The 24,946-nt window shown below is 41.3% G+C and overlaps 1 protein-coding gene and 1 long non-coding RNA gene across 2 annotated transcripts in view; both read left to right on the top strand.

Moving 5' to 3' along the window:
* Nucleotides 1–24,946, top strand: part of TAS2R1 (taste 2 receptor member 1) — a 276,530-nt gene that overhangs the window by 14,725 nt on the left and 236,859 nt on the right. Inside the window, exons 3-4 of the mRNA NM_001386348.1 lie at nucleotides 5,148–5,229; nucleotides 5,785–5,819. The gene's annotated coding sequence lies outside the window, so the exon portion shown is untranslated. The remainder of the gene's footprint in view (nucleotides 1–5,147; nucleotides 5,230–5,784; nucleotides 5,820–24,946) is intronic.
* LINC02112 (long intergenic non-protein coding RNA 2112) overlaps nucleotides 1–24,946 on the top strand; it is a 262,510-nt gene that overhangs the window by 14,673 nt on the left and 222,891 nt on the right. Inside the window, exons 3-4 of the long non-coding RNA NR_027112.2 lie at nucleotides 5,148–5,229; nucleotides 5,785–5,819. This is a non-coding gene — a long non-coding RNA (long intergenic non-protein coding RNA 2112). The remainder of the gene's footprint in view (nucleotides 1–5,147; nucleotides 5,230–5,784; nucleotides 5,820–24,946) is intronic.

The raw sequence follows: 24,946 nt of genomic DNA, 5'->3' as shown, positions 1-24,946 counted from the left end.
GCCTGCCTCCCTGGTGCTGCTTATTAAATCTAATACTGAGTTTATAGGTCTGTATAGTTTAAGGGTGTTTTTAAGAAATAGTCTGAGAATGGTTGCTCTCATAGCAGATACTTAGCCATTACTGGGAGTGCAAACTCAAATCTTAAATGCTCAAGTTGGCCTTCAGGCTTCTGCATAACTCTTAAGTAGTCCTCCATCCTCATCCCCTCTGAAATGTTTCTCTGAATATGCCTCATTTTGATCACATTCACCTAATTTCCCTTCCTGGAAGATGCCATCTGTCTTCTGCTATCTTGGCATTATCCTTGCTTGGGCTCCTCTCACTGCTCACTCCTCCCCCACCCACCCTCATGTGGTCACCCTTGCCTCCTCTGTGAGTCATCCCCTCCCTGTCCACTGTTAGCACCATGGATGTTTCCTTTGGAGCATTTATCCTAGTTGTAATTTGCTGTTTATTTCTGGAAATCTGATTCATGTCTATTCTCCTAATCAGACTGTAAGCTTGTGAAATCTGGGACTTTTGGGGGAATGACAGCATGCCCTTTCCTCACCGTTGCACACAGCTTTGGGTCCACCCTGTGAAATGCTCCCCCTGCAATCTGCGTGCTTTAGGCAGAAGGCTCTTCATACATGCATTACGGATTGATTAATTTTTAAAATAGTTCAGCAGGCTGTGTTGGGTCCGGGATAGCAGAAGCCTTTCCTTATTTCGTAGGAGCTTGGGAATTAGCAGATCACTTCAAGTCTTTGGGGCTTTGGGGAAGTGACTTGACAGAGAAAACGTAGGCAAGGTTGAATAATTTTTTTTGGAGATGCACTCTTTGTGACTGTTAAGGCTTTCTAGTAGAACTAGAGTAAGAGGAGAAAAGGAGGGCTTCAGGGGTGTTTCAGAGTCAGGCAGCGGCCATGGCAGCTCCCGTGAGAGGGCTGAGCAGTGAAGGAGCTCTTGACAAAGCTACTCCTGATGTGAGGGGTGGAGGGGAAAGAGGATCTGGGCAGGAAGGGCATGGTGCAGATGGGGGCCTACACTCAGAGTAAAAGAGGCAACCAGAAAATGTACCCTGAGCAGTCCCCTGCAAGCCCCAACCCCCTTTCGGTAGCTGCCTGCCTCCCTGGTGCTCTCAGCGGGGCTGCTTATTAAACCTGGTACTGAGTTCCTAGGTCTGTATAGGACTGGGAGGGTCTTGATGGGAGTGCTCCTGTGGCCCTGCTGTCCTGCCTACTCCCCACCTGCTTTCCTGGAGTACCCTGCTTAGCTTTGGAGATTCCACGCAAAATTCTATCCATTGTCTTTTCTTGTCAGGCAAATTGACCCCTCGCTTTCTTACGCCTGTGTTATGTCCATCTATTTTTCCACTTTTCTAGTTATGCTTATTATAACAGATTGCACTTGTTCATTGACATGTCTGTTTCTCCCTGTGAGCTCCTCGAGGACAGGGTCCATGCTTTGTTCGCCTTTGTCCTTAGTGGCAGCCTGGTAACAAGCACATGGTAAATGTGGCACAAATGGCTATTGTTGGAGCCAATGAATAAGTGAGTGACAGGTGATAGAGTGTGGTTCAGGAGAATTGGGTCACCATGTGTGATACATAGGTGGTGGAGGAGCCTCGTGTGTTGAATGTCAAAGAAAAACTCAACAGGCAGATAGTGAAGGGACTAAGGTGTGAAGATAGCAGGGGAAGCAGGAAGAAAGATTTGCATTTCTGCTTGATGAGAGTGCTGAGAGTGCTGATGAAACTGGGAAGGATAGCTTGGAATTTGTTGAGCTAAAATGTGAGATATATTTGAAAGTCATTTGACATCATTATAGTGGAAGACAAGGCTTATATTCAGCAACTTTGCACTAATATGGTTGTATAGGTTGTTATAATATGAAATACTTTCATACCAGTTGGTGAATAGATGATGTCAAAGATCAATATAATTAATAACTGCATATGATTATTACTATGTGGTGTGATCAAGTTGTCATTTAGTTAAAATCAAAATGACATCTGAATAAGGGCAACAGAGACTCAGATTCTGTGGATAGAGTATAAATGGGTACAATTGCTTTGGAAAACACTTTGGTAGTCTCCATGTAAGTGACTACACATATTATTTTTTATGCTCCAGCAATTCCATTCCCAAAAGAAATGGGTATATGTTGTACCAAAAGACAAGGATGAGAACATTCCAGTGGCGGTGGTCAAGCTGTGCTGTGGTGTTAAGGGCCATCGCCATTACCTTTGGTGATGGTTACGTAGATGTTCCAGTTTATTATTATTTTTAACTTTTATTTCAGGTTCAGGGATACATGTGCAGGTTGGTTATGTAGGTTAATTGCATGTCTTGGGGGTTTGGTGTACAGATTATTTATCCCCAAGGTAATAAGCATAGTACCCAATAGACAGTTTTTTGATCCTCACTCTCCTCCCACCACTTTCTGATTACGCATTGAAATGTATAGATAGTATTTATGTCTTCATATAGGTGTTAAACTGTAATAGAAGCTTGTTTTAACAATTATATAAAAATAGACTGGGAACGGTGGCTCACATCTGTAATCCCAGCACTTTGAGAGGCCGAGGTGGGCGGATCATCTGAGGTCAGGAGTTGGAGACCAGCCTGGTCAATGTGGCAAAACCCCGTCTCTACTAAAAATACAAAAAAATTATCTGGGCATGGTGGTGGGCAACTGTAATCCTAGCTACTAGGGGGGCTGAGGCAGGATTGCTTGGACCCCAGAGGTGGAGTTTGCAGTGAGCCACGATTGCACCACTACACTTCAGCCTGGGCGACAGAGTGAGACTCGTCTCAAAAAAAAAAAAAAAAAAAAAATGCTGGGCGCAGTGGCTCACACCTGTAATCCCAGCACTTTGGGAGGCTGAGGCCGGTGAATTGCCTGAGCTCAGAAGTTCCAGACCAGCCTGGGCAACACGGTGAAACCCCGTCTCTACTAAAATACAAAAAATTAGCTGGGCTTGGCAGCATGCACCTGTAGTCCCAGCTACTTGGGAGGTTAAGGCAGGAGAATTGCTTGAACCTGGGAGGTGGAGGTTGCAGTGAGCCAAGATCGTGCCACTGCACTCCAGCCTGGGTGGCAGAGCAAGACTCCGTCTCCAAAAAAAAAAAAAAAGAATTATATAAAAAAATCATATTTGAAGCTTGTAACAGTATATGCACCACCCTCAGTTTTCTTAATATCCTTTCTCTATGAAAAACCATTTCTTTGATGGTGCTAATAATTTTATTGAAGTTTCTTCCCCCAAATATTTTTTCTCATTTATTTGCAAATGAGTTTTCAAATGATCACTGTGCGAGTTTTGTTTTTTTATATATGTTTTATATTTTTATATGCATTTATCACACAAACACTTTCCTTCTCTCAAAAGTTAATTTGCTGCCATGTATTCTCCCCACACCCAACTTTCTGACTCAGTGGCCGTTGTTCACCTCCCACATTAATTTTTAATTGATTAACTCATTCTTTTAAAGGATAATTTTGCATCTTAATTAGATGCTGGTATGGAACTATTGATAAAAACTGTAGCTTCTCATACTTTAGCTTCTTTTTCCCCCCTGACTTATATCATTTTTAGTTCAATTTGTTAAAACTTCCAAGCTTAACAACACCACATAACTGAAAAATGTTTGATCAGAGTCAATTAGAGCAATGTTGCAGAAACAAAGTTATGGTTTATTATAGCTAGAGATTGGATTCCATTACACTAAATAATTTGTATTTTGCCTACAGTGATAGCTGTATAAGGCAAATGAAAGGAATTAATATTCTCTCTGATTAGCCAAGTCAGCAGTCTTTGAATTTCTAAGTGATCACAAATCTTCTATTTTTTAACCACATGGCTGTACTTATATTTAACTTTCCATTAATAAAGAAATCATAACTTCATAATAATTATTAAAAAATAAAAATTGTATTGCTATAATTTATTCAACATTACAGAGGCAATAGTGTATTGATTAGAAACATGGGTTCTAGGTCAGACTACTGGGGTTTGAATCCCAGCTCATGTATTGGCTGAGTGACCTTGGGCGAGTCACTTATCCTTTGGGTACCCTAGTTTCTTTGTCTACAGAAAATGGTTACTGTGCAGATTGAAAGAGTTAGTTTATGTATAGCACCTAAGACAGTGCCTGGTACATAGTAGACACTCAGTAAATGCTAGTGCTTTGTTCTATTGTTACATTTGCTGAAATATTAATTTAAGACTGAGAGTGAATGTCAATTTAGAAAGTAAGAACATTTTGAATCACAGGAGTTTATGTGACAACAAAAAGTACAATTTAGGCAAAAGGAAGTATATAAAAAGAGATGATTATTTTTGGACAAACAGCTAGTTCCTAGAAAAAGGTCAAAGTTATTTTGAAGCTAACATTTAAATAAGAGTTATTAACTGAGAGGAATAAATTAGTGTTGCCAAGAGTGACTGCTGTTGCTGGCTATTCTGACAGCATAATAATGGTTGGGGTGACAATACAGACAGAATCTAACCATTATACTTCCCATAGATTGCTACTTTAGTAATAAATAATAGTAACTTGTGTTTTATAATGTAGCAGTTAAGATCAAAAGGTATCTGCTGTGGTTTGATTGTCTCCTCCAAAACTCATGTTGAAATTTAATTGTGATTGTAAAGTATTAAGAGGTGGGGACTTTTTTTTTTTTTTTTTTTTTAAGTCAGAGTCTCACTCTGTTGCCCAGGCTGGAGTACAGTGGCACGATCTCCACTCACTGCAACCTCTGCCTCCTGGGTTCATGCCATTCTCCTCCCTCAGCCTCCCGAGTAGCTGGGATTACAGGCGCCCACCACCACACCCAGCTAATTTTTTGTGTTTTTAGTAGAGACAGGGTTTCTTGTGTTAGCCAGGATGGTCTCGATCTCCTGACCTCATGATCCACCCACCTCCGCCTCCCAAAGTGCTGGGATTACAGGCATGAGCCACCACGCCTGGCCCTAAGAAGGGGGGACTTTAAGGGATGTTTAGGCAATGAGGACTCCACTGTCATGAAGGGATTAATGATGTTATCCTGGGAGTGTGTTAGTTATCACAGGAGTAGTTTCTTGATAAAAGAATGGGTTCAGCCCGATTTTCTCACTGTCTCCCATGTTTACTTGTCCTTCTGTTTTCTCCTTTCCACTAAGGGAAGATGCAACAGGAAGGTCCTCACAAGATGGCTGAACAGATGCAGGTGCTGTGCCTCTGGACTGCCTAGCCTCCAGAACTGTGAGCCAAACAAAGTTCTATTCATTATAAATTACCCACTTTGCGGTATTCTGTTTTGCAGCCGAAAATGGACTAGGATAGTATTGTAAATTTGTATTCTGTGATATTTACCCAAAGTACTTGAGAAAGCCTGGCTCAGAGCCTCAGAGCTGGCCACTGGACCCACAGCTGATCGTAGATGCATGTGTGAGCCCAACCAGAACCAGAAGATCTCCCAGCAGACCCATAGACTCAGGAAAAATAAAAAAGCTCACTGCTTAAGCCACTGAATTCTCGGTGAAGCTTGTTACATATCAATAGCTAACTGATAAAATCAATTTTATCTGGAAAGACTGAGAATCTTTGTCTTACCTTTAAATATTAGTGATATATTCCTCAGGTGCTCAAACTCTCCAATAACTGTTACCAAATTCTTGATGTGTACGAAATCCATGTATGCTTCCAGGTTCTCCAGGTTGGTCATCTTGTTTTCCCCTCATTTGAGCCTGACTTCCCTTCGACTTCTAACCTGACTTTTATTTTTATTTATTTATTTTTTTAAATTTTATGTTCCAGGATACATATGCAGGATGTGCAGCTTTGTTACACAGGTAAATGTGTGCCATGGTGTTTTGCCACACTTATCAACCCATCACCTAGGTATTAAGCCCAGGATGCATTAGCTATTCTTCCTGATGCTCTCCCTCCCCCTGTACCCCGGACAGGCCCCAGTGTGTGTCATTCCCCTCCTTGTGCCCACACGTTCTCATTGTTCAGCTCCCACTTATAAGTGAGAACATGTGGTGTTTGGTTTTCTGTTCCTGCATTACTTTGCTGAGGATAATGGCTTCCAGCTCCATCCATGTCCCTGCAAAGCACATGATCTTGTTCCTTTTTATGGCTACCTAGTATTTCGTGGTATATATGTACCATACTTTCTTTATCTAGTCTATCATTGATGGGTGTTTGGGATGATCCAATGTCTTCACTATTGTGAATAGTGCTGCAATGAACATATGCATGCATGTGTCTTTTTAATAGAATGATTTATATTCCTTTATTCCTTTGAGAATAATAATTAAATAGAATGGTTTATATTCCTATATTCCTTTGGGTATATACCTAGTAATGGGATTCCTGAGTCAAGTGATATTTCTGGTTCCAGGTCTTTGAGGAATAACAACACCATCTTCCACAATGGTTAAACTAATTTACAATCTCACCAACAGTGTAAAAGCGTTCCTATTTCTCCACAGCCTCACTAGCATCTGTTGTTTCTTGACTATTTATTTATTAATTAATTTATTTATATTTTTTGAGACAAGAGTTTTGCTCTGTCACCTAGGCTGGAGTGCAGTGGCATGATCTCGGCTCACTGCAACCTCCACCTCTGGAGTTCAAGCAATTCTCGTGCCTCAGGTTTCCAAGTAGCTGGGATTACAGGCACCTGCCACCATGTCCAGCTAATTTTTGTATTTTTATTAGAGATGGGGTTTCACCATGTTGGCCTAGCTGGTCTTGAATTACTGGCCTCAAGTGATCCCCGCCTTGGCCTCCCAAAATGCTGGGATTACAGCCATGAGCCACTGCGCCCAGCCATTTCTTGACTTTTTAATAATCATCTGACTGGCACGAGATACTATCTCATTGTGGTTTTGATTTGCATTTCTCTAATGATCACTGATGTTGAGCTTTTTTTCATATGTTTGATGGCCACATAAATGTCTTCTTTTGAGAAGTGTCTGTTCATGTCCTTTGGCCACTTTTTAATGGGGTTGTCTTTTTCTTGTAAATTTAAGCATCTTGTACATTCTGGACATTAGACCTTTATCAGATGGATAGATTGCAAAAATTTTCTCCCATTCTGTAGGTTGTCTGTTCACTCTGATAATAGTTTCTTTTGCTGTGCAGAAGCTCTTTAGTTTAATTAGATTCTGTTTGTCAATTTTCACTTTTGTTGCAATTGCTTTTGATGTTTTTGTCACAAAATCTTTGCCTATGCCTATGTCCTGAATGGTATTGCCCAGATTTTCTTCTAAGGTTTTTATAGTTTTGGGTTTTACATTTAAGTCTTTAATCCATCTTGAGTTAATTTTTGTGTAAGTTATAAGGAAGGGGCCCAGTTTCAATTTTCTGCATATGGCTAGCCAGTTCTCCCAGCATCATTTATTAAATAGGAAATCCTTTCTTCATTGCTTGTTTTTGTCAGGTTTGTTGAAGATAAGGTGATTGTAGATGTGTGGTCTTATTTATGAGATCTCTATTCTGTTCCATTGGTCTATGTGTCTATTTTTGTACCAGTACCATACTGTTTTGGTTACTGTAGCCTTGTAATATAGTTTGAAGTTGGGTCACATGATACTTCCAGCTTTGTTCTCTTTGCTTAGGATTGTCTTGGCTATATGGGCCTTTTTTCATTCCTTATTAACTTTTAAGTAGTTTTTTTCTAATTCTGTGAGGAATGTCAATGGTTGTTTAATGGGAATAGCATTGAATCTATAAATTACTTGGGCACTATGGCCATTTTCATGATATTGATTCTTTCTGTTCATGAGCATGGAATGTTTTTCCATTTGTTTGTGTTCTCTCTGACTTTCTTGAGTGGTGGTTTGTAGTTCTTGAAGAGGTCCTTCGCTTCCCTTGTTAGCTGTATTCCCTGTGTTCCTAGGTATTTTATTCTCTTTGTATTAATTGTGAATGGGAGTTCATTCATGATTTGGCTCTCTGTTTGTCTACTGCTTGTATATAGGAATGCTTGTGACTTTTGCACATTGATTTTGTATCCTGAGACTGCTGAAGTTGCCCCACTTTGGGGCACTCTGGCTGCCCCTTGGTGGAAGGATTATGCTGCACTGGGGGAATCCTATTTGTCCAGACTGCCTGGATCCCTCAGAGCCAGCAGTGGGAAAGACTAAGTCTGCTGATCCACGGAGACTGTGGCTCCTCCTCCTCCCCAGGGGCTCAGTCCCAGGGACATCAGAGTTCTGTCCCTAAACCCCTGGCTGGAGTTGCTGAAATTCCTGCAGCGAGGCCCCACCCAGTGAGGAGGGATGGCTGACATGACTTTTATCTGGTATATGGCATCTCTGGTTATTGACTTGGTTTTGGGCTTCTTCTTGTCTACAATTCTGCCTTACTTTGTCTACCAAGATTCATTCTTATCTAACTCTGATCTCCCAATATCTGACATTGATTTGTCCCTGCTTTTGCCTTTAGTAATTAGTATCCCAGCGTCTGTTGTTGTCTACATGGCTATTCTCACTGGGGACACTTTTGCTGTCCAGGAGTCATTTGGAAATGCCTGGAGACATTTTTGGTTGTCACAACTGGTGGTGCTCTTGTCATCTACATGATAGAGGATAGGGATGCTGCTGAGCATTCAGAAATGTGAAGGACAGCCCCTCTATAACTAAGAATTATTTCACAACAGTGTCAATAGTGTTGATATTGAGAAACCATGGTCTAGATCTACGACAGAGAATGGTTCCTTGAACAGTGCAGTTGTTAATCTTAGGTTTAACTGTACTTAGGTTTTCATCTCTATGGCCCAGCTATTCTCCTAGGAAGCCTCAGGAACAAATTCTTTCTCCTTCTGATGTACCATAGTTCATCCAAACTGAGCCAAAATTCCTTAGGAAGCAGGTGTCTTCCCCAGAGACTGTGTGAGAGCCTCACTCTCCAGTTTAGCCAGCTCCAGAGCTCAGCATAACAATAGAAGATTACTCAGAGACTAATCTATAACCTAGGACTTTTACCAGGGTCCTTAAAGAGGTAAATATTTTTCCTCTTTACGTATAGTTTATGTATGACTGAACTTAGCAACTGGTGCTTTTAAACACAATAGTGTTTAAAATTCCTTCAATGGGGTTTGGGTTTGTAGAACTCGAGTATGTTAAGCATACTCTATGGCTTCTTCAGGGGCTTGTAACCTTGTCTTTATTGCTGATAAAGGAAAATCAAGCAAACCCTGCAGGGGAACATCTCTGTCCTCACAGAAACATAAGGATAGCCTGGTTATCTGTTCTCTTATCAATTATAAACAATTGACCCCACTGCCAACCCAGCCTCTAGTCATTTAGCAAAGGAACACAAGGCAACATCTTGACAATGGTAAAATGATGGTTCAAACAGGCTGGGGGAAAGCTGTAGACATTTCACCATACAATTTGATCGTACCTCTCACAAAATTTGTGTTTGATGCCTCATTGGTATATTCTAGTTTGCATATAATCATCACATCTCTATGGGTCAGGCATCTTTATGGGTCAGAGAAGTAGAACCACAACAAGTGTATAAAGTATGGGGGTTATTATAAAAATTAAAATTAGGCCTTGCAAATGTGGGTGCTGCTGGAGCTGCCTATGCTGATTGTTGTCTTGCGTCGAGGGCTGAGCATGAGGTTGCTATAGGTCTACCAGAATGATAGTTGGAAAGGACAGCTAGATGTCCGGAGAAGTATGGACAAACTGGGATCCACGAGAAGAACTGGATCCCAAGAGGGCAAACTGGAGCTTGCAGATGTCCCTCACCACCTCCATGTGGGCAACCTGCAGGAGAGGCAGGTGCCCTTGATCATGGAAATGCATGTGTTCCTGACACCCAGGGATCAGAGAAACTGAAGAAGGAGATCACAGACCTGTGAGATTAGTGTTATTAATTTTTCCTCTTGCTTCTAGCTCCAATATGGTTCATCCCAGAACTGTAACTGTTCCTGTGTATTAAATATGTTGACAGTTTGTTCACCATGTGTATTTCTGCATTAACTTTGATTTTTAAAGAACATTGCATTAAAATATTTGCCTTGACTACTAAGTGCCTCTTTAATTGTCATGCCCCAAGGCAAGTTCCTCACCTGCCTCACCATAGTCCCAGCCCTGCTGTGGAAACTGAAGGAGCTGCAGGTTTGAGCACTCCATTACACCTTCTGGGAGGCTGGAAGTTAGTGATGGTAGGCGTGAACTCTGTAGTGCCTGGCACCCTGCACTCACTGGCCTTCAGGGTGGAAGGAGATAGAGTTGCTTCTTTATGTCTGCACTCCAAACCTCATACAAAACATCCCTTGTGGCCAGCACTCACTCAGGACCACACAGGGAAGGGAATTCTGGGAAATGTGCTTTTAGCTCAGCTTAGTTGACACAGTTCCTACAACATCCACACAGTTTTGTACAATTTTATTCTTGTGTATGAAAGATGTTGATGGATGCCTCTAGATTCTGAAAGCTTCTCTCAAACTGCATTTGGAGGAAGCCCAGCTGACCTCCTTGTCTCTCCCCATACATGATTACTACGTTTGGAGCTCACTGTAATTGTTATAGCTGCAAACCAAGAAAAATGAAGTGACCATATGACCTAAGTAAAAACAACCCCAAACTAAAGACAGAGAACTTTTAGAAGAATCATATCATCTAAGTAATCAGACAGCTGCTGCTTAGATACAAGCGTTCGTGGTTCACTTCCAAATGCTGTCAGATTCTATTTGCTGGATGTCCAATTCTGTTTGAATGCTCGTGAATGCTGAATCTGGTAACTAGCCCAAGGCTCTAGTGAGGGAAAGCAATCAGATGATCAGGATGAATCCTCCTGGAACTATACTCTATGACACAGTCCTGGGCGGGGGTGCTAAGTGTGGGGAGGAGAATCTAAAAGGAAATACGGTACTCCACTAAGGCAGAGAAATATTGAGGGACTTCTTGGTACTTCAACAACAAAACACCCTGGATGGTGTTCAAGATGAACCATTTTATATTGCATTTTATTCTCTGCTGAATAGTATTATATTATGTTGAGGTGACTGTGTTTGTTTTCTGAACCCATGAATTCATTGAGAGCCCCCAAATGACTCATGGTCTCCACACATAGCAGTCAAAATGCTTTCAGTGGAGCCAGTCCTAGTGGATTATGTTTAATTCTAGGAGAGAGAAATAGTAGCTACAACCCCATTTCTGTCTTCCTCCACTACTTTCTTCCCCAGTGAGATTTTGATCAATTTCTCCAGTAGGAGGTGATCACTGATTTTAAGACTCCTTTTCTTTTCTCTAACCTATGGTGAGAACTTGAAAAGCTTGATATTCTGTTTGTGAAAGGAAAGGAGATGCCTTCAAAAAAAAGAAGAGGAAGAAGAAAGAACAACTTTTACACTTCTGTCTCAGTGGGAAATCCATGTTGAGTTCTGATACATTAAGCAGTTCGCAGACAGAAATTTGAAAATGCTTCCAGCTGTTTAATTTCTCTCGGCTCTGTTGAGATGAGAGCCGCTCAGAACACGTGTGAGTCAACCATTTACCCAGAGACAGCACTTAATACTCTGATATGGCATGGGCCAGGAAGCCCAGAGCAGCATATTGGAGACAGTATGTTACTACAATTGATGACAGATTGCTTCTTGGATTTACTTCTAAATGTATTAATTGGGAGACTGCATGTGTGTATTTGAGTACCTTTGGTGACTTGCTATTCAAAAAGTATAAAGAATTGAAGGGGAGAAAGAGGCATAATTTGTATGTGTATTGAATTTCATTCACAGGGGCAATATTAAAATTTGCTGCTAGAAAATCTTGAAAATATTTCTCCTTCCTTTCCATATAGAAAGAGTTTTCTAAAATCTCTTCTTTTTCTGGAAAGGAAGAAGGAGAAAGATGGAAGGAAGAAGACGGTGGGTTATTCAAGAGTGGAAAACATGGTTTGGGGAGAAAACCCATCCACTTTCTAAAAAATAAGAAAATGCATAAACATTCAATCTTCTTGAAGAGTGGGTTTCAAGAGAGGCCAGTTGTGAAAATATAAGGAACCTCTGTGTTAAATGCCCATTTCAGGAGGAGTTTAACACCTGAGTAATCATACACGAATCAGAAGCATTTGCAAACTGTGGTTTCATATTCCTGTCTGATGATCCATGAAGAAAGTGGGGAGGAAACACATTAAGTGTGTTTTTCTAGAACTTTATATTCCTTGTGGCATGTGTAGACACTTTGGGGAGCAACCTGCATCTTGAGTATTGGTGGTTTCTTCATTCCTTTCGTTTACCTGAATAAACACTTTGGAATCGAACACGTGAGTGCTCAGCACACTGCATTTAAAGACAAGGAATGTTCTTTGTAATCTCTGCAACTAGACAACCTTTTTGGCCTTGCAGTCCCCTCCCACTCCTGATGTTTCTTCTGCAGCTGTTGTCACTGTCTCTTTTAGTCCCTCCTGGGAAGTCGTATTCATAATTTTTAAAATTAAGAAGTCATTATAATGTTACGATTTGCATTTTTAGGTTAGCTCTTTCCATCTGTTTTCCATAAAAGATACTTCTGCAAAATACATTTGGCAAGGTTTTATTTAATAATAATATTTTTTAAAAACCCCACCAGCAAAGGCAATGTTCATTACAAACAGAATGGGAGAAAGACTGTGCTTCTCGGGTATGACAGATTTTGCTTTAGGATTAGACAAAATGTTTCATGTGGCTTCTGTGAAGGATGAGTTTTCTAGCCAAATTCGCAAGAGAACAATTGTGGCCTTCAACAGTCATAACTAGGGGGAAAGGAGGCAGAAAGACCTGGAATTCCTATTTTAATGACACTATAAAGAAGCAAGCTCAGGAATCGTCTTTGGGTTCTACTCTAAGCCATGCCTCACGTGTCCTCTGAATGCAGCCACCGTGTTGGTTGCCCTTTTGGGACATTGCTACATATTTAAACCTTTCAAACTTTTTTTTTTTTTTTGGTTTGTCGTCCTTTCCTCCTCCATTTGTTGTCAGGGGTCAGCTTCCTGAAACATGTAGCTGGGCTCGTGAGTTCCAGGCCCTCATCCTTCTGGAGCTGTTTCTGCTCTTCAGGGGCTACCAGACTTCTCCTGTCCCTCCTGGGCTGCAGATGCTAGGAGAGGACACCACTCTGGAGGTGGGGCAAGGCCTGGCCTAAGTTTCCAGTCTCTACCATAGTTGGGTATGTAGATGTCTTCTCTGAAGACATGGGGCAAAGTGGGAGTTACAATGCAGAAATGAAGAGGTTGATCTTAGGTATTAAATAGGACAGTCTCCAGAGGTCATTGAGAAAGCACCTAAGAGATTAAACCCTTTCCAAAGAAGTTCATGAGCACTTTTTCCGGGACTCACCAAGGTGTCTCCCCACAGGACTCACTGTATTTGTCCAGTTTATGCCAATCACTGTAACCTCCTGCTTCTAACCTACTCGGAGGGAGATGCTGCTCACTTTTGGGGAATCCTCATAACCCACTTTCCCACACATCCCTCCTCCCATTCGAGCGCAGCCACACATCTGAGCCATTGAGTTGTGGTAACTCCATGGGGATTTCAGCAGAATGGTCAATGCTGGCCAGTAGTGCACCAGATCTCCCTTCTCCCTGACCAAACCCAAAACAGGTTTGTCGGGGAGGCTGTGGGATTTCGTACTGTGTGATGAACCTGTGGGAACACAGATCCGCATGGCTGTTTCACTGCTGTGAGTGTCTGCATGCTGTTCCTTTCATATGGCACAGGTTGGACCAAGCTCATAAATGTCTGTCTCCCCAGACAAGACTCCAAGACTCTTTCTTTTTCTAGTCTAAACCTGAAGTTGCAAGATGGAAGCACAGGAGCTGAATTCAGCTGGCAGCCTTATTTGACTTGGCTGGTGCTGAGTTGTAAAAATATTTGAATATGAATGTCTGTAGGTAGGACATACCCTTTCCAGTTCCCCACCACATTCCCGACCACTCCCCTGTTGGCTCCTGCCCGCTCCCTCATTGATTTTCCCTGCCTGGTTCCCAAAGTCATTTGAGTTTGCAATCAAATGGAGGAGGGAAATGATGCCTAGCTGCCTCCTAATTTTGAGAATTCCTCTCTCTTCCATGAAGTCTGTCAGTACCCTGTTGCACACAGTAGATTTTATTTAATTTCAATCCCTGTTGAGACTTCACAGAATCAGAGAAGAGCCATATCTCTTTTATGGGGGCTCCCTAAGCACACAAGAAGAGGTTTCAGAAGGACCCTTATTATAAGAATGCCCATAAACCCAGGTCTGAGGGATGATGTCCATCTGCATTACTTTTGGGGGAAGTTTAAAATCAATTGGTTTGGCTTAAAGACCAGAAGTTGATGGGATTGAGGCAAAGGGGAGGTCACCATGTGGTCTACAAAGATCTTTCTTCTTGACTGAGAAAAGGAAAAAGATGGGTTGAAAGAGATGGAGTTATTGCTCAGACAGAGTGGAGGTGGCATCTCTACCCAGGACTTGGGGCTCCAAGTCTGGGACTTTCACCTCTGTATCAAGAAAGACCTGTAGCGCGGGGATTCACACCTAACATGAGTCATACTAAAACTATGGATCAGGAATAAAAATAATTAAATATAAAAGCCCTGTGGCAGCAATGTCTTGCCACCTGAAGGAGATAGCAGAGTGAGCTCTTAGTAAAACTTTGGGATTCCACTCTTACCCAGAAAATGAAATAGGATCCCTGAGTCTTGGCTGGAGGGGGAAGATGCTAAGGAATCCCTGAAGAATAATGCAGGAATTTCTAGACTTTTAGGATCTACACATTTTTCAAAAGACAACCATACCAACAGTTTTTCCTGATTGCTAACATCTTCCTTTGCCATATAGGACATTGAAAGCAAACAATAAAACTAGCACCACCTACTATTTCTATAATTTTATAAAATAAAGGAGTTTTGAAAACCAAAGTAGCACAGAAATAATCTCAAGCGAGAGCAGTTCTTCCAAAGAAAAGTTGTTGGCAAATTTCTGCCACCAAGCCAGGAAAAATAAAGGATATAGTTTAAAATATTGCATGTAGAGAAAATGCATTATAAAATTTTATGTTGTATATTTTGCTTTTGCAATAATTTTTTCAATTTGTAAAGATATATTTGATGTCCTAAAATAAACTCCAACTCACTCCATGTAGTACTTTGTCTTTCTTTCTTTCTCTTCCTCCCTCCCTCCCTTCCTTCCTTTCTTCCTTCCTCTCTCTCTTTTTCTTCCTCTCTCTCTCTCTCTCTTTTCTTTCTGTCTCCCCCTCCCCTACCCTCCCCTTTTCTTTTCTTTTTTTCCCCGTCCTCTTCCCTCCCCTCCTTTTTTTTTTTTTCCCCGAGACAGAGTCTCACTCTGTTGCCCAGGCTGGAATGCAATGGCTCAATCTCCGCTCACTGCAACCTCCGCCTCCAGGGTTCAAGCAATTCTCCTGCCTCAGCTTCCTGAGTAGCCGGGACTACAAGTGCAGGCCACCACTACCGGCTAATTTCTTTTGTATTTTAGTAGAGACGGGGTTTCACCATGTTGCCCAGGCTGGTCTTGAATTCCTAAGCTCAGACAATCCACCTGCCTCGGCCTCCCAAAGTGCTAGGATTACAGGTGTGAGCCACCGAGCCCAGCGTCCCCTCCCTTTTTTATTTCTCCTCCTTCTATTCCTAATCTCCCACTCAGGATGTAAGATACTTTGGTTTTATCACAGTTGCTGTTGTGAATTAGGTTGATATGGGAATTTTGGTGACATTTCAAATATTTGAAATATTCTGTGCAATACGAGAAGAGGTTAAAAAAAAAAAAAAAGGCCTGGTCTTCCAGTGGTTTCTTCTGCTCTCCTCATATGGGGCACCCCTGTGTGGGGCCAGGAGAAATCAGACCAGATGCTTGGGGTTCCATGAACTCTACAGGGAGCCTTTTAGCACTGTCAGTCTGGGGTCCCCAGGGCCCGTCGTAGAGAGGGAGAATATCCTACCGAGAGAAGCCAGGGGAGGACGTCAGTGGACAGCGCCAGCCTAGTGCAGCGTGGGGGCCTGGGTCTCAGCAGCAAGCACCCATGCAGACACCAGGACCTCCACTGGTTAGGTTTAAACTCAGGACATGTTATTTAGCCTCTTTAATTCTTTGTTTCCTCATATGTAAAAGGAAAATCAAAATAGCTCTCCCTCACCAGGTTGTTGTGAAGATTACCTGAGTGGTGATGTCTGCCTGTGAAGTTCTCAGAACCATTTCTAATGCACCCTAAATCCTCAAAAAAATGATTGCAATTATTATTAGGCCAGAGCATGTCTGACAGATTAATGATTAATGTAATTAATGGAAAAATTAATGATTACAGGGCACTGGCGAATTTTAGGATTACATGCACTGTTTCTTCAAGTCAATGTAGTTATACCTGACAGAGTATGGTTATTATCTTTTGCCTGCATATATTATTTCCCCAAACTTAATTAAAATATCATTTCTTCATGTGCTAGAGTTAAACTATTAATCTACCTAAAGAATCTTTGGTTAGTAGCCCAAGGGTAGGATAAATTCACAGGTGCAATTTAATTTCTGGGCATATCTATATTTACTTACATTCATGTATCATATTCCAATTTTAGATTTTAAAAATCCCAGAGTTATTGTAAGGGCAGTGGAAAGTAAAAGGTGTGAGGGCTGTTTGGAAATATCTAATTAAATATCTATTTCCAGCGCACTCATTCTGGCTACCCAGAGTGATGGGTGGACAGTGATTATAATAAATAGTTTGATTTTTGAATTACTTTTTTTGCACTGGCTTAAGCAAAGGGGTTTTTTTAAAAGGGGAAAATAATTATAAAAATTAGAAGCTGTGGCTACAGATATGATTCTCTCTTTGTTGGTGTGAACTGCTCTGGAGAATTCATCCTCCAATCCAGCCAATCATAACAGTCTAGAAAATAAAAAGTTAAATAGCTGGGTGTGAATTGCATTGCTATGTCTATATGCCTGCTGTTGCATCATTGTTGAGCTCTCTGAATCACACGGAAACTTTTGGGAAACATTGCAGATAATATTTTGCTTTAATTTTTAAGACCACCATACCATAAAAGCAAAAGTTTATAAGCCTGGGAGCAAAAATATGTATACATAAATAAAGTTACTTTTTTGATCTAGAGATAAAACTATATAATAGAATATTTATGCCCATATATAACTTTATTATGTAATAAAATCTACACTTTTGAAATTAGCAATGAATCAAGATTATTTGCAATCAATTTGTTTCTGTTGATTTTCTTTTTCTGCCCTGGGCATATGTCCATATCAGAGTTGTACCCTTTGATCATTGTGTTTGCTAGCAATAGGTAAATTATGACACTTGGGTTGAATTGTCCATTTCCCAGGGTGTATTCTGATTTGGACAGGGCATTTCTTGTATATATTAAAATGCTCAATGGCAACTAGTGCAGCCCCTTATTCATAAAAAAAGGCTTGACAGTTATTGAACTGAATGACAGCTATCAATGGACTGTTCTCCCCTTGTCTGGGCACCATTTTGGACAGATGAGATAATTTCAGATGGCACCTTTTTATGCATGAAGAGAGAAAAATCTGGGGTAAAATTCCTCCTGTAGATACTGTTGCTCTTGGTGAACAGGCTTCCCCCATCCGAGTGTGTGCAGTTGGGGAGGACAAGGAGAAACTCTGTGATTGCTCTGGCGAGCCAGGGCTGAGGGCTTTACGTCTGTGTCCAGGGATGACAATTGGATCAGACAGAGTGGACACTGTGGCATGATTTGGGTGGTACCAGGAAGTCATTCATCATCCAAATCTTCCTGTGAATAGTAATTATGGCATTGGCTACAGGAAAATATGATGCTTATATGAATGCAGCCAGCCTCTGAAATGACAACTGTTTTCTCGCCAAGCTTGGAAAGGACATAGTCAAACTGGTAGTCTATCTTGCCTGTAATCATCTAGAATTGTCTGGGGAGGTGATCCTGCCCTTTCAACTTGGATCTTTCATTGGCTTTCTTAATCCAATTCTCTCCTTTTTAAGATTTCCTCTGATAATCCCTTTTGCTCACATTCTCCTGATTGTGCCCTGGAGACTGACCTTGGTTCTTGTCTTTTGCTGTTATTGACAGGAAGGGCAACACCAGCTGGTCTCATGAGATCTAACAGAGACAGGCTGATCCAGAGCCTAGGTGATTCAAACCCTGCATTATGTAACAAAACTGTAGAAAATGCTAGTTCTTTTTTTAAATCTCTTATATTCTTCTGGTACTTATGTTTTCAAATAAATGCTATTTTGAGAAAATTACTACCTTGCATTTTAAGTTAGTTTAGTTTGCTTTCATGACATTTTCTCTTGTGGATTTCCATCATCATAGTGACTATGATGTGTCCCTCCCTGCAGTGTGCATTTGATCCTCTCATTCATCCTATCCATATGGAGAACACCTACTTGGCTTTCAAAATGCAGTTCCAGCATCTCCTCCTCCATTTTCTGGGGGATTGGACTACTTACCCTTTTGGGGGCTCGTATTATGTCCTGATACTGCTCTGCAATCACATTTATAATACTTTATGGTACTTTATTTCTATGTTTGCCATTATTTATTTGCCTATAAGTCTTTGAAGAGTGGGTCCATGTTTTAACCATCTTTGTATCCCCAGTGTCTAGCCTAATGTACATAGTAGATGTTCAATAAAGTCTTATTGGATGAACCTATTAAATCAAAGGATATAGACAGGGAGGAGACATACCATGTGACAGCTAAGACTACAGAGACAAAGGATGTATACCTTTTCATGGGAGGGTAGAAGAAAAGTGTGAGGAAAGAGAAGGTGCTCTGAAACAAAGCACTTGTTTTGATATTTTATAAGAATGCCGGCATGACCAAGAATCTGAGGTTACTCTGGCCTATCTGGAAGATAAATAGGCTGTTGAGATGCAGTTATGGAGCCTAAAAGGGAGACCAAGGCCAAAGCTGTAAATGTGTGAATCCTTTGTACGTAGGAGGTGTTGGAAGCTGTGAATGTGGATGAAAGTACCAATATAGAGAGAACAGAGTGAGAATAGAAGACAGCCCAAGAATCTAAAGTCATGCACTTGCAAGGGAGTCAGAGGAAGAGAGGTAAGAAGTAAACCAGGTGATAGCTCTGTTATAAAAAGGCTTAGTCATGTTTCCAGAAGGATGGGTGGTCAACCATGCTAATGCTGTTGAAAGATTGAGAACTAAAGAAGTACATGGTAAAACAACAAATAAATAAAAGGTCAAGTAATATAAAGAGTACTTAATATGTCCAAGTCTAAATTTATTATTTTCTCCACTCTAGTTGTTCTATCTTGAGAAATCCCAAAGATCACGCTCAGGTTTGATGATTCACTAGAAAAACTCACAAGATTCAGCATATAGTCATACTCATGGCTATGATTTATTACAGAAAAAGGATACCAACCACAATTAGCAAAGAGAAAAGGCACATAGGGCAAAGTCATGGGGAAACCAGGTGCAAACTTTCAACAATCTAGTCCCAGTGGAGTCACACAGGATGCACTTAATTACCTCAGCAATGAATTATGATAATACATCTGAAACATCAATTATTGAAGCTTATTAGAGCCTTGCTGCTCAGGATTTTTATTGGGGGCTGATCACATAGGTACTCTGATATAGTTTGGCTATGTCTCCACCCTAATCTCATCTTGAATTGTAGCTCTCATAATCTCCACATGTCGTGGGAATGACCTGGTGGGAGGTAATTGAATCATGGGAATTGGTTTTCCTGTGCTGTTCTCATGAAAGTGAATAAGTTTCATGAGATCTGATGGTTTTGTTTTATAAAGGGCAGTTCACTGCACATACTCTCTTGCCTGCCACCATGCCTTTGCTCTTCCTTCGCCTTTTGCCATGATTGTGAGGCCTCCCCAGCCATGCTAAACTTTGAGTCAATTAAATCTCTTTCCTTTATAAATTACCCAGTCTTGGGTATGTCTTTATTAGCAGCATGAGAATGGACTAATACAGTAAATTGATACTGCAGAGAGTTGAACGCTGCTGTAAAGATACCCAAAATTGTGGAAGTGACTTTGGAACTGGGTAACAGGCAGAGGTTGGAACAGTTTGGAGGGCTCAGAAGAAGATAGGAAAATGTGGGAAAGTTTGGAACTTCCTAGAGACTTGGAGGGCTCAGAAAACAGGAAGATGTGGGAAAGTTTTGAACTTCCTAGAGACTTATTGAATGGCTTTGACCAAAATGCAGATAGTGATATGGACAATAAAGTCCAGGCTGAGGTGGTCTCAAATGGAGATGAAGAACTTCCTGGGAACTGGAGAAAAGGTCACTATAGCTAGGCAAAGAGACTGGTGGCATTTTGCCCCTGCCCTAGAGATCTGTGAAACTTCGAACCTGAGAGAGATAATTTAGGGTATGCAGCAGAGGAAAATTCTAAGTGGCAAAGCTTGAAGAGGAAGCAGAGCATAAAGGTTTGGAAATTTTGCAGCCTAATGATGCAATAGAAAAGAAAACCCCATTTTCTGGGGAGAAATTCAAGCCACCTGCAAAAATTTGCATAAATAATGAGGAGCCAAATGTTAGTCACCAAGAAAATGGGGAAAATGTCTCCAAAGCATGTCAGAGACCTTCATGGAAGTCCCTCCCATCACAGGCTCTGAGGACTAGGAGGGAAAAATGGCTTCCTGGGCCAGGCCCAGGGCCCCCCTGCTGTGTGCAACCTAGGAACTTGGTACTTTGCATCCTAGCCACTCCAGCTGTGGCTAAAAGGGGCCAAGGTACAGCTCAGGCTGTGGCTTCAGAGAGTTCCAGACCCAAGCCTTAACAGCTTCCACGTGGTGTTGAATTTGAGAGTGCACAGAAGTCAAGAATTGAGGATTCGGAACCTAGATTTCAGAGGATGTATGGAAATGTCTGGATGTCCAGGCAGAAGTTTGCTTCAGGGGCAGGGCCCTCATGGAGAATCTCTGCTAGAGCAGTGTGGAAGGGAAATGTGGGGTTAGAGCCCCTACACAGAGTCCCCACTGGAGCACTGCCTAGTGGAGCTGTGAGAAGAGACCTCCATCTTCCAAACCCCAGAATGGTAGATCCACCAACAGCTTGCACCATGCACCTGGAAAAGCTGCAAACAATGCCAGCCTGTGAAAGCAGCCAGTAGGGGGTCTATACCCTATTAAGCCACAGGAGTGGAGCTCCCCAAGGCCTTGGAGCCCACTTCTTGCATCAGAATGACCTGGATGTGAGACATGGAGTCAAAGGAGATCATTTTGGAGCTTTGAGATTTGACTGCCCTGCTGGATTTCACACTTGCATGGGGCCTGTAGCTCCTTTGTTTTTGCCAATTTCTCCCATTTAGCATGGGCATATTTACCCAATGCTTGTATCCCCATTGTATGTAGGAAGTAAATAACTTGTTTTTGATTTTACAGGCTCATAGTTGGAAGGGACTTGACTTGTCTTAGATGAGACTTTGGACTGCGGACTTTTGAGTTAATGTTGAAATGAGTTAAGACTTTGGAGGACTGCTGGGAAGGCATGATTGGTTTCGAAATGTGAGGGCATAAGATTTGGGAGGGGCCAGGAACAGAATCATATGGTTTGGCTGTGTCCCCACCCAAATCTCATCTTGAATTTCAGCTCCCACATTCCCCAATGTGTCATGGAAGGGACTTAGTGGGAAGTAATTGAATCATGGGGGCAGGTTCTCCCATGCTGTTCTTGTGACAGTGAATAAGTCTCATGAGATCTGATGGTTTTATAAAGAGCAGATCCCTTGCATACACTCTTTCCTGCCACCATTTAAGACATTCCTTTGCTCTTTCTTTGCCTTCCACCATGATTGTGAGGCCTCCCCAGCCATGCCGAACTGTGAGTCAATTAAACCTCTTTCCTTTATAAATTACCTGGTCTGGGATATGTCTTTATTAGCAGCATGAGAGTGGACTAATATATATCCCCTCTGTGTCTGGCATGTATGCAATTTCAGATTCCCAGCAGGAAAGCAGGAGTTCAACAAAAACCAATTCTTTTCACAGATACTTTTGGCTCGGTGAATGGTGCTTATCAGTTAACAGCAGAAACCCTCCTGAAATGTAAGTTCCCAGATGCCAGCCAAGAACCAATCTTGTCAGCAGTCAGTCCTTTTCTGGAATTCCCTGTAATGGTGAATGTCATTATTATAAAATCTATTAAGCAAGTCAGAAACAAACCCATGCATCATCTTTTGCCCCTTTCTGTTTTTGGCTGACCACGTGGTTTTGGATTCAGGAAGAATAATGAGAAAATATAGAACATACATACACACAGGTATAGACACATATTTGAAGGCTTCAAAGAGCTGCTCAGGCAATGAGCATTTCTGGGGCTAAGATACAGAAAAAAGAGGGAAACAAAGAGAGGTGTCTGGCATTTGGAGCTGCTTTTGCCTAGAAGGCAAGTGCAAAATCAGAAAACAAAAATGACATCTGAGAAGTTAAGATTATAAGCAAAGTTCTTTGTAGTCTCACAAGGATAGAGGGACAAAAATTGTAGTGAATGACCTTCTAAGGAGAAGTCCTGTGATTACTGCAGGTTTTTGGTTGTTATGCTTAAGGCCTATATCCTATGAGTAAGGGTGAACTGGAAACATGCCATTCCTCAGAAAGACTGAAAAACAACTTCTAATCAGCTCAGTCCCAGACGGAAAAAAAGTGATTTGCCAGAGGAAAAATTAGTTTCTCTCTGGAGAGTGATAACCTTATTCAAAGTCTTAAATTGTCTCTACATTTTTTATACAACATTTGACAATGTTGTGTTTGAAAATAAAACAGGTGTACAAAAAAATAAGGTTTGTCCAAAAACAAGAGAAATACAGATAGTAAAAACAGACCCATAGACAATTAGAAATTGGAGTTATTGTACATGGATATTAAATACTCGCAATTAAGATGTTCAAGAAATACAATTACAAGATGAAGGATTTCAGCAGAGAACCAGAAACCATAAAAATTCCAATGGAAATCCTATAATGGAAAAATAAAAATAAATGAAATTGAGATTTCAATCAATGGGCATCATGGTAGGGTAGTAGAGAGAATTAGTAAACTGGAAGAAAGTCTGTAGAATATGTCCAGAGAGATATTAAAAAACACAGAGAGATAAAAAGTCTCAATGTATAGAAGAGTAAGTAAGAGATATATGGGTCATAATGAAAAGATTGAATTTCAGGTATAATTGTAGTTCCAGAAAGAGAGGAGAAAGAAAATGAACAGAAACATAATCATAGGCAAGTATTTTTCAAGATTTTGGGAGGACATTAAGACTCAAAATCATGGCCTATGAGCCTCAGCAGGATAAATACAAAGAAAACCATGCTTTAGCATATCACTGTCATTTTTGAACACCAAACACAAAAGGAGATCCTGAAAGGAGCCAGAAGTGTTGAAAAGGCAGATGACTTTGAAAGGAAACAGGAAGAGTGACAACTGACTTGTGATGGGAAACAATGAGAGTCAAAACACAATTGAATAATCTCGTTAAAGTGATATAAGAAAATAACTGTGAACCTAGAATTTTACTTTAATTAGCAAAACATTCTTCAAAAGCAAAGTGGAAATAAAAGAAATACTTTCAGAAAAGTCAAAACTAAGAGAACTTTTCAGGAGCCCATTTGTGTTAAAGAAAACAGCAAAGGGAGTTCTTCAGTTCAGAGGAAAGTGATCCCAGGTAAAAACACAGAATGCTGAAAGGAAGACCAACAGAAAATGGAAATGAAATGAATAGTGACTATAAAAACATCAAAAATAATGCATTGAGATGTTTAACATACATTATCACTACAAACATGAGAAGAAGAGCAAAAATTATAAGGGATGAGTAAATAGAGTGGAAGTGTACTAAGGTCATTGTATTGTGAATCCATAGGCATAGTGGGATACAAAATCATACTTGACCCATGACTTTGTCTTGTTGATTTTACATCCTGGATATCACTAGAATTTGTGTCCTTCTCTCCATTCCTTCATTCATACCCTCATCCAGGACACCATTAGCTCCATCTCCTGAAAGACTGCAGCCACACCCACTGGCTTCCTTGCTCCCCCTCCACACCTCATATAAACTGTTCTCCACTCAGCAGCCAGAGTGATCCTCTGACAGCCTCCATAATCACTTATCTCTGGTCCAACTCCTGCTTTTATTTCATCCACCCGTATGGACGTGTTTATTCCTGTAATGCTCCCTGACCCAAGGAAGAAAGAAGATATGAGGAGGTCAACCATCCAGCTTGCTGAGTCACCACCACTTGCTGGTGGCCTTGTGATCACAGCCTTAAGCTAGTGCCCTCGCTTGGTTATGGGGCAGTTTGTGGCCTCTGTCTCCCTTTCCAGAGGGTCTTCCTGCATGCCACAGGCTGAAGTCTCCTTCTCTAGCTGTACCCTGTCACTTCCAATCTCTGGAATTCCTCAGTTTCTGGTTCAATAAAGAATGTACTTTTTACCATTCCATTAATGGGTTTAATTTTTTGTGTATGGGAACTGGATGATGATAGAGCACTCTATCATCATATGAAGTAGCCTATGGTGATAGGCTACTTCACCTTCTTTTTTTTTTTTTTGAGTGGAGTCTAGCTCTTGTCACCCAGGCTGGAGTGAAGTGGCGCGATCTTGGCTCACTGCAACCTCCATCTCCCCGGTTCCAGTGATTCTCCTGCATCAGCCTCCTGGGTAGCTGGGACTACAGGTGCATGCCACCATGCCCAGCTAATTTTTTTTTTGTAGTTTTGAGAGAGATGGTGTTTCACCGTGTTGGCCAGTCTGGTCTCAAACTTCTGACCTCAAGAGACCCGCCTGTCTCAGCCTCCCAAAGTGCTGGGATTACAGGCATGAGCCACTGCACCCGGCCAGGCTACTTTACCTTCTAAGAAGAGATGGGAAACTTCTGCTAAAGTTACCTCTTCCTATCGGGTGGGAAAGTTGGCATGAACATGTTCCATCTCTTTCCTCCACCTCTTACGCATAGGTAGACCACACTCAGGCACAGCA

The sequence above is a fragment of the Homo sapiens genome, chromosome 5 (assembly GCF_000001405.40).
Source record: "Homo sapiens chromosome 5, GRCh38.p14 Primary Assembly".
In the NCBI taxonomy this organism is placed as follows: Eukaryota; Metazoa; Chordata; class Mammalia; order Primates; family Hominidae; genus Homo; species Homo sapiens.
Note: the sequence above shows the minus strand (reverse complement) of the source record. Positions and strands in the feature narration are given on the sequence as shown.